General features: G+C 47.6%; 5 annotated features.

The window, feature by feature from the left end:
* Nucleotides 746–1,279: an enhancer, noted in NCBI's record as "OCT4-NANOG hESC enhancer chr7:50488572-50489105 (GRCh37/hg19 assembly coordinates)". NCBI's record gives its function as "activates a minimal SCP1, AML or CMV promoter by ChIP-STARR-seq in primed H9 embryonic stem cells {active_cell/tissue: H9 hESC(primed)}" and the evidence as "EXISTENCE:reporter gene assay evidence [ECO:0000049][PMID:30033119]".
* Nucleotides 5,475–5,554: an enhancer, noted in NCBI's record as "active region_26007". NCBI's record gives its function as "activates an Ori minimal core promoter by ATAC-STARR-seq in GM12878 lymphoblastoid cells {active_cell/tissue: GM12878}" and the evidence as "EXISTENCE:reporter gene assay evidence [ECO:0000049][PMID:35858748]".
* Nucleotides 10,502–10,581: an enhancer, noted in NCBI's record as "active region_26006". NCBI's record gives its function as "activates an Ori minimal core promoter by ATAC-STARR-seq in GM12878 lymphoblastoid cells {active_cell/tissue: GM12878}" and the evidence as "EXISTENCE:reporter gene assay evidence [ECO:0000049][PMID:35858748]".
* Nucleotides 11,082–11,141: an enhancer, noted in NCBI's record as "active region_26005". NCBI's record gives its function as "activates an Ori minimal core promoter by ATAC-STARR-seq in GM12878 lymphoblastoid cells {active_cell/tissue: GM12878}" and the evidence as "EXISTENCE:reporter gene assay evidence [ECO:0000049][PMID:35858748]".
* Nucleotides 11,817–12,317: an enhancer, noted in NCBI's record as "H3K4me1 hESC enhancer chr7:50477534-50478034 (GRCh37/hg19 assembly coordinates)". NCBI's record gives its function as "activates a minimal SCP1, AML or CMV promoter by ChIP-STARR-seq in naive H9 embryonic stem cells {active_cell/tissue: H9 hESC(naive)}" and the evidence as "EXISTENCE:reporter gene assay evidence [ECO:0000049][PMID:30033119]".

Raw genomic sequence — 13,547 nt, 5'->3', positions numbered from 1 at the left:
AGGGGAGCCTAGTATAAAAGATGCCATCAGCTTCTCTAATCTCTGCTCCTCATTACTCAGGATCTCAGCAGGGTGTATTTGTGGTGGTATTTGTGAAGCTGGGGATCTGTAAATCTCCCCTGGCCCAAATTGCTTGTGAATGCCGAGTGCCTATTCTATTCTGCAACATGCTTGTCCATGAATTACCAAAGATCATCAGCATGCTTTGATGTTCACATGTTTCCAAAAAGAAAACTCATGCTAGAATAGAAGAGAGCTGGAATCTTCTAATTGCAGGATGCTTACCAATTCCAGTGATTATGAGGAGGCTTGAATATCTCCAATGACAGAGGATTCAGTACCTTCCCAGGCATCTTTTAGCCATTTCTCACTGTGGAAAATTTTTCTCTAGTTTTCATCCATTGTTCCAGTTCTTCCTTGTGTGTTCACATGGAATCAGTCTCATCTCTTGGTCACAATCATTGATTAAGTAAATATTTTTTTCACATCTACCAGCTTCAGTGGAGGTACAAAAATGAGTGAGACTTGGAGCCTGCAAGGAAGTCATAGTCCAGGGAGGGTGGCAGACTGCCTGTGGAAGTGATGCGGCTCCCAGAGCCTGCTCTCCCTTCACCGAGCACCACAGTCTCGGCAGTGCTTGGTCGTGTGGGAGGATGACTGTTCCATAGGCTGGCTTCCTGGTTTATCTCTGGATCTAGGCGGATCACCTGAGAGCCAAATGTCTGGGCCAGGATTGACCTCTGTGTTACTTTTTGACATCAGGTCTTCAGGCTACCTTGAGTTGTCTAACAAGTAAAAGCCTGGAGAACCCCGTTAGGCAGTGCTTGGGGAGGGGGACGGCTGAGGACATCAACCACCTATGTCAGTGGTTCCCAGCCCTGGCTGCACCTGGGCAGCTTGGAAGCAACAGACCCTTAAGCTCCCCGAGACACCTGATGTCATTGGTTCAGCCTGGGTCCTGAGCTTTTGTATTGCAAATGCTTACCACTCAATCCTATCATGCAGGCAAGGTTGGGAATTAAAGCATTACAAATATGCAAGGTCTCTTATTTGAAGTCCCATGAAGGAAGACATTTCTCTCAGAGTAAAGTGCAGTGTACATTGTATTCTCCTAAAAGGAAAGCCATGGAAGTAGTAACGTAGCTTAGAACCCTAAATCAGGAGATGAGTTATAGATATAGATACATACACACATATAACGTGTGTATGTGTGTGTGTTTGCCTCATTTTAACCATTTGTTCTACTTTATATTAGCTCTGGTAATGATTTTTTAAAATTATATTTTCTTACATATGGGGAAAGATAGTTTTTGAGGTGTTCACTTATTTTTCCCATTTTCTTTTCTTCTTTCCCTTCCCATAACAGATAGCTAAGTCTGTAGTTTCTTTTCTGGGAGGATATTTAAGACAGGCTTCTTAAATCTAATAAAGACAATAAGATGTGAGAAAAAGGGGTGCCTGAAGAAAATATGGAGAGGACAGGGGATTCCCTTCAGACAAAAGCAATGCTTCCTTGGATTGGAGGAAGGAGAGAGAGAGAAAGAAAGGGGGTGGGGGAAAGACGGAGAGGAGAGAGATGGAGGGAGAGAGGAGGAAGAGAGAAGGGTAAGGGGCAGGGGAGAGGGGGACTGATCCACTGTCGTAGCTTTTTGGCAGTGCCCTAAGGCAACGAATGACAGGGCTTCAGAGCTGGGGCCACAATACAACAGGAAGAACCGATTTTACCTCACCAAGGGTTCCTCAGCTCAGCATGGCCCCGAGCAAAAGAGCCAGCAAGGCCAGAAGGACCAAGGAGAGGTCATCATCAGTGGACAGATGGCAGCTGGTGCAGGGGACTCTTGGATCCCAGCCCTGTGTGAGGCCCTGAGAGCTTGGCAGCCTTAGTGGGGGGGCCTGGGATTGCTGAGGTTGATTTTCTGCTATCTTAATATGACAAGGCCTGGAGGTAAAATTAACATAATTCATTAAAATAAAAAAGGAAGAAAGCCAAAATGTAACTTCTTACACACCTGCTATTGGGGACTGTTACATATTCAAAAATAATCTCAAAGAATTTCTAAACTGAAGTGAGCCATAATTCAAACATTAACTAAATACAATTAAGAGTAAAAGGCTACCCCAGATGTGCTCTGACTGGCACAACATCTGTGAGTCCAGATTGGCTGCCTACCCTGGCTTCATGGCTGTGTACCCCAGCTTCTGAGGGTTCTCCTGAGATGTTCAGGCCTTGCAGAGTCAGCTCTGAAGGCCTCCTGGGGATCTGGCAACATTCTCCGTAAAGCTCTCAAGTCAAGTGCAGTTTCAAAATGATTTCATCCCAGTCAGATACCTAAATTTTTAAAGCAGCTTTGTTGAGGTATAATTGAGACACAATAAACTCTACCTGTTTAAATTTGATAAATTTTAACAAATATATACACAGATAAAACCATCACCACAATGAAAATAAAATCCACATGCATAACCCCCAAATTCCTTTGTGTCCTTTGGAAATTCTCTTCTCCCACCTATGGCTCTTCCCCCAACCCAGGCAACTACTGAACTGCTTTCTTGACCTAGACAATAGTTTTCATCTATTAGTATTTTATATAAAGAATCTTTTTTGTCTGGCTTCTTTAATGGAACATAATTATTTTGAAGTTCATTCATGTCATTTTATGCATCAGTATTCATTCCTTTTCACTGATGAGTAGTGTCCCATTGCATTGATGTGTCATGGTTTTTATCCATCCATGTTGATCGATATTTGGGTTGTCTCTGGTTTTTGGCTATCACGAATAAAACTGGTATCAACAGTGCTGAATGATTTGCTTGAATTTAGTTGCCTATTCAAAGATACAAGTGATTCATCACAAGAGAAGTAAAGGCTTCTGGTGGAAGATGCCTTGTTTCACGGAGAGAGAACAGGAAAAGAAAAGCGTGTGGAAGAGGGGTGCGGTCTAGAGACTGTGAGGAATGCCTGTCTTCCCCTCAGTTGTGTCCTCGCCACAGTGCTGCTCCTGGACCTCCCTGTCTGAAAGCTGAGCCCAACTCACTTCTAAGTGAGTCAATTTTGATAAGTAGATGACAAGATCTAAGTAGCACTGAGGGTGTGGGAGTGAATGGGAGGCTGAGGGGCCCAGGGAAGGGAGCTGCCTTTTTCCAAGACGTCCATGTGCTGGGCCTTATGTCATTCCTATGCCATCTCATTGCATATTCGCAGCCTCCTTTTAAAGCCGAGATTATTATCGTCTAACTTCATAGGCAAACATGAGGGCTTGCAGACAGTAAATAACATGCCCAAGCCCACCTGACTCACAATTTGCAGGTCTGGAATTTGAGCCCAGGTCTCTTGGCTTCCAGGGCTGTTTTCTTTCCTCCACCCTCTCCAGGACGGCCTCTCAAGCTGTGGCACGTGCAGGTGGCAGACAGCAGCGACAGCCACGGTTAAGAGGCCAGCGGGGGAGAAAAAGTGCATTCTGAGCTGGGTTCTTAGCACATGCAGGGTTCTTACACCCCTTGTTCAGGCCTGGGCGAAGCTCAACTGAGACAGGGAGGGTCCACATGCCAGAGTAGGACAGGAGCATCCATCCAGGCCAGAAGGGTTCTGGGCCACAGAGTGATGGTCTCTGTACAGCCCCTCTGGTGTGGGAGATATCCCTGCCCTGCATGTTAGCAGGGTTTATGCAAGAATTGATGTGAGTAGGTGCAATAGCTGATTTTAAGGATAATTTTGAAGTCAAGCCCTAAGCAAAGAATCAACCTGGGTGGCAGCCCCTGTGTCTACCCTTAACTTGGTAAGTGACCTGGGCAAGTTCCCTGCTGGCCCTGGGCTCAGCTTCTCCCTCTCCCCACGAGGAGCTGGGCTAGGCCTGCAGGGGCCAGTGGTGCAGCGCCTCCTCCCTGGAAATGGCATTGGTTAACTACATCCATTCTGGCCAGCCTTGCGTTCCTTCACCACTAGGTGGAGGGCATCTCTTAGGTTTCCCCACTGCTCCCTGAAGGCCTTGGAGGCGGTCTTAGCCATCCCTCCATGAAAACCACCTTAAATTTTGACAGCTTTTTAAGGAATTCCAACTTAGATGTTAGGAAATATTCAGTCAATTCATTTGCCCAAAAGCTCAAATTTTGAGTTTCTTCACTTTCTATTTTCCTATTTCAATATATTGTACTTTTTAAAAAAACTTTTATACTAAATAAATTGAACTTTAAAAATGTTCTGGCCTGTATTTATTACTTGGGAGATTTCCAGCAGAATTGCTTTACTGATGCTTGCCTCTATGTGAAAAGTGCTTTTGATCTCTTTTAAGTGAACTGTTCTCTCTTGCTTCAACCAGACACAATGAAATAGTGGAGATGTGGGAGAGAGGTAAGGACTCGTTCTTTCAGCTGACATGTTTTTGAGAATTCTGTTACCCCCAAGGGTATTCATAAGGCCTCAGCACAGAGCAAACTATTCTCACAATCATGCCTGATAATGAATTGATCACCTTGGGCATTTACCAAGTGCTCTCTTCACATCTCTTATCTCATCGAATCCTTCCTACTCCTCTTACAATGAGCATTTTTTAGTCTCTGCTTTTATAGAAGAAGCAGGCGAGGCTATTATTGGCCATATAGATTCCCCACCTGCACCACAACATACACAAACTATCCAAGCATAGTTTGGAATTAGGAAAGGGACTTGACCTTATTTAAGTGTCCGTGAGTATAGGAGTGGTCAGACTTTCTCAAATCCTGCATCTAGCAGTAGGGACCCAGAGAAGCCTGCCTCATTCAGGTGGCTGTGTTGGCTGGCATGGTTATGGGGGCCATGCAGGGACATCCCCAGCCTTCAGATGGAACCTTCCAGAGCTGTGTCTTGCCTGTGCCTAGAGTCCAGTGGAGGCCAGCACCCCTCCACTGAAAAAAGAATCTGAAGACTTCAGCCAGGCTGACTTGCCCTGGGGTTGCTTTTCAAGTGGAGGTACAAGGACAGAATCAGCTACAGAGAGAGGGAACCTGGAAAAGCAAATGACTTCCAGAAGCCCCGGAATCTGCACAGTGTGTGAATGTGTGGAAATAGCAGCTTTCACAAGGAACATTTCTCTAACTGCAAAGGAAATTAGGCAAGCAGTTTATTTAGGAGAAGCAGAAGCAAGAGGAAAGTGATTTGCCTTTTTTTCCTCTTTTTCTCCTGAGAGGAGGATGATCCTGCAACAATCTACCAGCAGGGCGTAGTGAGTCCTTCCCTATTTGCTGGAAATCCCACCCTCCTGCTATTGCACGTCTCGGTTTCTGTTTTGTAGGTTGCTACTGGCAGGAGGGGACTGGAAGTCACAGAAACCCAAAGGGCTCAGACTCATGAGAGACAGAGTGTGGAGCTAGGAGATCCCAAGCATGTCTCGGCATACAGGGAAGAGAGCCAGCATGTCAGCCCACACCTTGAAAGGGACCAGTGTGCCTGCTTGAGAAAAAGCACATGTCCTCAGGCAAGTGACATTTCCCTCTCAGGCAGAGTGAAGGGCCAGGTCGAAAAAGAAGAAGTGAAAGTTGCTGCATGCTTCGAATACTGAAGGCAGCCTTCAGGATTTAGTACCCCAGGGAAGACTTCTTTGGGGAAGCTGGGAATGAATGGTTTACTTGGAGAGGGAATTGAATCTTTTCTGGGCACCCCCCTCACCTTGTGCCAGGCACTGTGCTAGACCTTGGGGAGCTCCAGGGAGCAAGGCAGGTACTGGCATGTCATCAGCACTTCCCGACAGAGCCTTCTACAACAATGGAAACGTCTGCTTCCACATTTGTGCTGTCCAATATGGTGGGTACAGTCACATCTGCTGATAGAACACCTGGAATATGGCTAGTACAACTGAAGGGCTGAAGTTTCAATTCTATTTCATTATAATGTAAATTGAAATAGCCATGTGTGGCTAGTAGCTACTCTGTGGAAAAGCACTATTCCACGTAGACCCTTGATGTGGGGAAAGAAAGAAACACACTGTGCTGCAGGTTCTGGCGTCATGATGTTCCTTCCAGGTGTGAAATGGTTGCTCGGTTTCTCTGAGAAGACAATCAGGAAGTAGGATCGCTGGGTGCATCTGGGAGGTGTGCCTTTCCAATGACTACATTTACTCTCTCACACACTTAGTAGAGCCTGCAGGGGTTGTGTGTACCTCGTGTGTATCAGTGACCAAGTACTCCTTAGGATGACAGAGTGTTTTCTTTTTTGGTTGCTCAGCATCATCCTGCTCTTTATGAGTTACGGCTCACATTATCAGGAGCCTGAGCTGCTCCCAGGGCACTAGGGGCTGGTGAGAGGTGTGGTATCCAGCAGCTGGGGGACCTCAGTGAGGGGTTGGCCTGGCCCCATTCTTCTCTCTAAGGTGTGGGGATAACGACTCCTCTATTCCTTTTCTCTACGTGTCGGGCCCATAAAAATCCTCATTCCATGACTGTGCTGGTGTCCACTGTGGGGAATGCTCTGTTCATCTGTGCAGTGGGAAAGCTAGTTAGCTCCTGGGTCCGGAGCCCTTCTGAAGGAAGGCCTGGCAGTGAGAAAGGCTTTCCTTTTTGGTTGACATTGGAAATGCTGGAGATGGCTGGCTGCTTCAGTGCAGCAGCTTTCTGCCCTCTCAGATCCTAGGGAAGAAAAGAAGTTGCACATTCCTCATACCCTGGTCTGCAGCCGTTCTTCATATTAAAGAATATTTAAACGAACAGAAAAGCTGCCATCAGGGATATGAAGTGAGGGATTATGACTATTTCACAAACATTTACTCCACACCTACTGTGTGCTGTTAGGTTAAGCATTAAGCCTTCTGGGGCCTGCTAATGCTGCAAGGCTTTGTTGTTACTGGCAGATTTATAAATGTGCTTTTAAAGCATGGAGATTGTCAAGAACAGGAAAGATTTAATTTTATCCCAAGATTGGGCTAAGGATTTTGTGCAGTATAGAACAGGGTCTGTGGAGGAGATTCTTTTGACATCACTGAGACTTGCTTTACCCAGGAAGGTGACATCTTGTGCTGTGTAACTGTTTGATACCTGGCTAAGACTTTGAAAATAATCACTACATATTAACAAGTAGGGTACAACGGAATCTTTTTATGTGCTATTTTTCTACCCAAAATACTCAAAATACTACTTCTCCTACTTTTTTTTTTTTTTTTTTTTTTTTTTGAGACTGAATCTCACTCTGTCACCCAGGCTAGAGTGCAGGGCCATGATCTTGTCTCACTGCAACTTCCACCTCCCGGGTTCAAGCGATTCTCGTGCCTCAGCCTCCCGAGTAGCTGGGATTACAGGCACCCGCCACCACACCCGGCTAATTTTTGTATTTTTAGTAGAGACAGGGTTTCATCATGTTGGCCAGGCTGGTCTCTAACTCCTGACCTTACGATCTGCCTGCCTAGGCCTCCCAAAGAGCTGGGATTACAGGTGTGAGCCATCACGCCCGGCCTACTTCTCCTACTGATTTTCCTTCTGAACTATCAGTCCTGTTCAGCACTTTTCCTTGTTCCATTGTTGAAAGTCAGGCGCATGCCTTTGAAGTGCATTGTCAAATCTCTATATCATGTTTCCCTTTCCCAAAACTATTCTATCCTCCCCACTGCAACCTCTCACATGCAGTATTGTAAGGGAGTTTACTACCCAAGAGAAACCATTTTGAGGATTCTTCTTCATGATTTCAAATGATTGGCTCTACATAGAAAGGTCTGTACACTGTCAAACATACAAATGAATATGACCTAAAGGCATCCAGTTGTAGGGAAATATTTGGAAAACAAAGATAATTTATTAACTTAACTGATACCTTTTCTTCTTCTCTATTTTAAAAACACAGATATGTTATTAAGATCTCATATTACTTCAATATTGGCGCATTGCACTGATTTTGTTATAGTGAATTGTGTTATCCTGGCTTCAAGGATCTGTGAACATTGTATGGTTTTGTGGACGTTACTTTTCCTGTCTGAGCCTTAGGATCCCATATTTGTAAGTGGGCACAATAACACCTTGTGAGAATGACAAAAGCACTTATATGATACCAACGCAGCAGATGCTAATGTTCCTCCTTCCTTTTTATTCAAGTCTCTAAGCATTTTACAGTGAATCTAATGCTACCTTTCATCCAGGCCTGAATGAGAAAGCACATAGAAATGGTAAGCTGGTACTTTTCATACGGTTCACACAGATGCTTAGGACCCAAATCTGTTCTGAATTATCCAGGCCCAATATCAGGTCCTGAATTTCAATGCTGAGTAGAGATGCAAGCTGAGGAGGCAGATAGTCCTGCCTCTCTGCTTCCTGCTCTAGGGAGAAAGGCCTTAGGCACCCCCTCCCTCCCTTGCAGCCTCAGCACTGAAATCCCCCAGCAGCAGATAGAGGCTCCCACCAAGCCAGTTCCACTCTCAGGGCAAGGGTAATTTCCAGAAGTCAGGAGACAGCTTGCGTGATGACCTTGGAGCAGGTTCTGGGCCACCCTGCTTCACCCTGGGATGGCGTAACTGTGGCCAAGTCACCGTGTGAGCCGAGCCTGTGCCTTCATCCATGATCCAGGGCCTGGTACTGCAGGGAACGAAGGGAGCGGCAGTGCTGGGTACATTAGCAACCCGAGGGCATCAGGTCAGGAACACGGCCAGGCCAGGGAAGAGCCAGGGACAGGCTGGCTGTGGTCCCTCCCTAGCTCTCGGTGTTCCCCCAGGACCCCATTTCCTACAGTGTTTCCCTTCCTACAGTGACATGCGTATTAATGGTAATGTTGAAGAGGGGAGGTGGAACATTTTTAGTTTAACTATATTTGTGGAAAGCTGGATTAAATAAACCATCTTCTATTCTGCCCAGGGCATTTCAAATGCTAAGGCACATTGTGGATCTCCAAAAGAGGGAAGAGTGTGTGGCTTTTCCCAAATCGTTTGCCCCATTCTCCTTTTTTGCATTATGCATAATGGGCTTTAGGAAATGTGGCTTGAGGGTGACTCCCTATGACCTTGAAAACGGCTCTCTGCTTCCTTGGCCTTAGTTTCACTACCTGAAATTGGTGCTCACACCCCTCTCCGCCCTTCCTCAGGGGGCCCATGCATTCATGACAGCCCTGCAGCTTCAAGGTCAGGACAGGGGCTCAGCTCCTGCTGCCTTCCCCAACCCTCAGAGGGCACCTCTTTGGCTGAATGGTGGACCCCTTCTCTCCAGGCGTCTGGCACTCCCCAGCCCCCAGGACACTCCTCCAGCCCAGCCACACGGCCTTGCCTTCCTTCAGCACTATTCCGTGTCCAGGCCTCTGTACCGCATTCACGCTGCCCCCTCTGCCTGAAACTGTCTGCTGCCTTTCTTTGCCCAAATAACTCCTGTCTTTCAGTTCAACTACATCCTTACTGATTTTCTGCCTGCTGGATCTGTCCATTTCTGATGGGGAATGTTGGAGTCTCCAGCTCTAGGAGTGGGTTCATTGATTTCTGTGTGGTTCTCTCCGCTTTTGCCTCATGTATGCTGGTGCTCTGTTGTTAGGCATGCACATGCTAAGGATTGTTACATCTTGTTGGAAAATTGACCCCCGTGTCATTATAGAATGCCCCCATTTACCCTGATGCCTTTGCTTGCTGTGACTCTGCTGTGTCTGAAATCAATCAGTATAGCTACTCCAGGTTTCTTTTGATAGTGTAACTATGGTATTTTTTCCTTAATTTCTTTACTTTTAATCCTTATGTGTCTTTATACTTAAAATGGATTTATTTTTTCCTTTTTTTATTTTTTTGAGACGGAGTCTCACTCTGTCGTCTAGGCTGGAGTGCAGTGGCGCGATCTCAGCTCACTGCAACCTCCACCTCCCGGGTTCAAGCGATTCTCCTGCCTCAGCCTCCTGAGTAGCTGGGATTACAGGCGTGTGCCACCATGTCTGGCTAAGTTTTGTATTTTTAGTAGAGACGGGGTTTCACCATGTTGGTCAGGCTGGTCTTGAACTCCTGACCTCGTGATCCACCCGCCTCAGCCTCCCAAAGTGCTGGGATTACAGGCATGAAAAATGGATTTCTTATAGACAACATCTAGTTGGGTCACATCTTTGGATCCACTGAAACTCTATCTTTCAACTGCTGTCCTTAGACTATTGATGTTTAAAGAGATTATGGGTACATTTGGATTCATGTTGATTACATTTGTAACTGTTCTCTATTCTATGTGTGGGCCTTTTTGTTTTGTTTTGTGTTTGTCTTCCACTCTTCTTGCCTTCTTTGCTTTGAGTATTTTGTATAATTCAATTTGTCCCCTCTCTGCCTTCTCTTTTTCAAGATTCAGCTGAGGTGCACTTGGTCCCATGGGTCCTGTGTACCTTTGGGTCCTGGGTGTCTGTGTCGGCAGCACAGAGCTTGTCTGTGGACAGTCTTGCCTGACGGTTGCCCATTTCACCCGCAGCTCCTCCAGGGTGGTGGCCTTACATTCTCAAGTCTCTGACCCTGGCTCCTGGTCCTGGGATGACAAGGTCAGGCCTAGTCAATGCTGGTGGGACAGGACAGAACTATGTATATAGGGCGGCACTTGAATGAGCATTAACACAAACACACATTCATAGTACTAAAAGCATGTTTACATTGGAAAATAAAAAGCCCCAGAAGCTTTCTTGAGGGAAATCCCCTCTCCCCCACGCCGACTGCTGCACAGCTGAACTCCTCCATGACCAAAGGGGGCTCTTCCGGCCTTCCCTGCCCCACAGCCCTTCTCTAGATTCAGCCAATTCACCTCAGGGCCAGAGGCTCTGCCTGTCCCCTGGAGGAGTTCTTTGTCCAAAAGAAGGGCCTGAATGCTAAGATGAGGAGAGTACCCTCCTGGAGCACCCAGGAAGCCCAGGGGTCAGCACGCTATTGCGTCTGGCCCTTTCTCTGGGAGTAGGGGAGGAGGGCAGTTGATGTTGGCTGTGGAGCAAGTAGAAAGATGGCCAGAGCTTCAAAGGGAAAGCCATGGGCCTCAGGCCCACGTCATTGACTGGGGCAAGATAAGACCTCAGGGAGTCCAGGGCTCTGGGAAGGAATCTCCAGCAGAAGCTTCTTTCTGTTGTTATTGGAGGCTCAGGATGTGTGAGACCAGCCTCTGCCCTCCACAGGCTCACAGTCCAATGGAGGAGGTGGACATCCCATACACTGCGGGGTGAGAGCCCTAAGACGGCTGACATGAGGGCTTGAGGAATTCAGAGACCAGATCTTGAGAAAGCTCCAAAAATTAGGTGCAATAAGTTCTGCCTTGTCCCAGAAGAACTCAGCAGGCAGCCAAGCATGGGAAGACTTCCCAGGACCAGCAGGGCCCTGTGATGCGAGGAAACCTGGGAATCGGGTGTGATTTGGAGGTTGGGAGGAGGCTGGGGGATCATCTGGGGTCACATCTCACTGAGGATGGATGCCTTCCTGAAGATGAGATCTGACCTGGGAGACCAGCTGACCAGCTTCCCTCAGCTCTTGGGGTCCCTGCCTCCATGCTTGTCAGCTTTAATTTCCCATCAGTGCACGAAAACACACAACCATTCTCCCATGGGGTGGTATGAGAGACCAACTTAAAAAAGGAATCGTGGTGCTCACAGAGGTGGGAAGTGGGTGTGGGCAGAGGGGATTTACAGAGGATTTTGCAAGGGGCAGTGCCCACTGAGGGTGGGGATCAGGGCAGTGCCCAGAGGGAGGAGGTCCCTGAAAGGGGAATCAAATTGAGGGACCCTGAAACTGCACACCCTCCTTACTGTGGGGCCCAGCCCACCCTCTACCCACAGGAAGCTGGAGGGAGAATGACAATGAGGAAGCTCGCGCAGGTGCCTGGGGAGGAACAGCACCGTGAGACGGTGGCGGAGAGGAGGCCGCAGCCACTGAGGCCTTCTGGGAACCTGGGATCACATGTGGTCGCAACCACAGAGAGAGGTCTTAGGGTGGCCTTGTTCAGGAGAGGCCCATATGCATGTGCATGGTACCTCCTCAGGCCCAGGGGGGTAGCAAAGCAGAGAGAGAAGCCAGGGCTGACTCATGGGCAGAGAAACAGAAACATTGGGACAATTCACACACTCAACGTCACAACTAGTTGGTTTGACAAAACATGGGAAAGAAGAAGTGAAATTTGTTAACTGTATCGAGATCCATGCAGTTCACTTCAGGGGACAGTTTTGGTACCAAATTATCCTTATTATGCAAATTCCCTCCCCCAGCAGGTTCCAGTTGTGCCCGGGGACCCATGGCGGGTGCATCTGCTTCCCATAGTTCCGATTCACCGAGTTGCCAGGGCCCATCTGCTCAGCCCAGGCCCAGGGCCTGCGGCCAGGGAGGAGGGGGCGTGGGCAGGGGCCAGGCTGTTGCTCCAGGACCTGCAGGGCCACTCCTGGAGCTGGAAGGTGATGCAGCCTGCCTTGAGAAGCCCAGATCCCAGACGTGGACAGGAGACAGAGTTCTAGGGATGTCTGCCTTGTTCCTGTCTTGGCCATGTCAAAAAGCAGAAAAAGCAAGGGAGTATCCCCATGAGGCTCTTACCTTTCTCCTTAGAAAAGTGCAGCCAAGAACTTGGCCTTTCCAAAGCATCGGCCTCCATGAGGCCTGGGCTGCATTGCAGGGTCCTGTCTTCTTTGCCGGCTGCTCTCCAGAGCCCATCTCTGCCCACCCTTGCAGTCCACTGTCACCCACCACTTGAAGGTCATTGCCAGCATCCTAAACACTTGACTCAGTGGTCTCATCTCTGCCCCCTTCCTTATTGCATTGGCTTTGTTGAACCTATTTGTGGGCCTCTTCTTTTGAATTAAAAAAACAATTCTGAGATGCTGTCCCCAATGAGTTTTCCTATCTGGAAAAGCCCCTCTTATTTCCTTTGCCTAATTCCTCCTGCTTCTCCTCTCCCCACGCTCCCCAGAACCATCCCCTACCCTCCACCTCTTTCCTGAGGCGACATGTACCTGTCACAGCTCCCATTATAGTAGCCTATGCCTCATGACTCCCAAATGCATTGGCCATCCATGGGGACCCGGCTGTCCCACCCATGCTTACACAAAGCCAAGTTCCCCTCCTCCAATCCTCTGCCCATTTTCCCTTTTCTCAGTAATGGCTCATATAGGCTCTGAGACTGGGTTTCACCTCCTTACCTCTCGTCAAAGCACAATAGATTTAATTATCTTAAAAAGATGTTATGCAACAAATATTTATTGAGCATCTAATATGTTCCAGGTACTCTTTTTGACACTGAGGATATGGCATTAAATAAATACAAAAAATCCCTGCTCTTGGAGCCTGCGTTCTAGTGGCAGAGTCCAGTCCTCTCTTCTCTGCTTCTCTCCTCTCCTGACTTCTGCTGGTTAGTGTCAGCATCCTTGCTGTGGGTAAAGCCTCTCTTCTGCCTGGATGGCATGGCCCCCTTCACTGTCTCCAGAGTTCTCATTGCATCACCCCCTCCCCCTCACCTCCTAAGACTCCTGGATGCCTCCCTATCCACCTGTTCAAACTCCTCCTATCCTCAGTCTACATTTCTGAATTTATCTCCTATTTTTTTCCCCTTGAGTACTCTTTCCCAGACAAACAGGGCTATTGCTGTTGGACTTCTGGTTCTGACATACAACAGATTTCATTCACATTTGTTCT

The sequence above is a fragment of the Homo sapiens genome, chromosome 7 (assembly GCF_000001405.40).
Source record: "Homo sapiens chromosome 7, GRCh38.p14 Primary Assembly".
Classification (NCBI taxonomy): Eukaryota; Metazoa; Chordata; class Mammalia; order Primates; family Hominidae; genus Homo; species Homo sapiens.
Note: the sequence above shows the minus strand (reverse complement) of the source record. Positions and strands in the feature narration are given on the sequence as shown.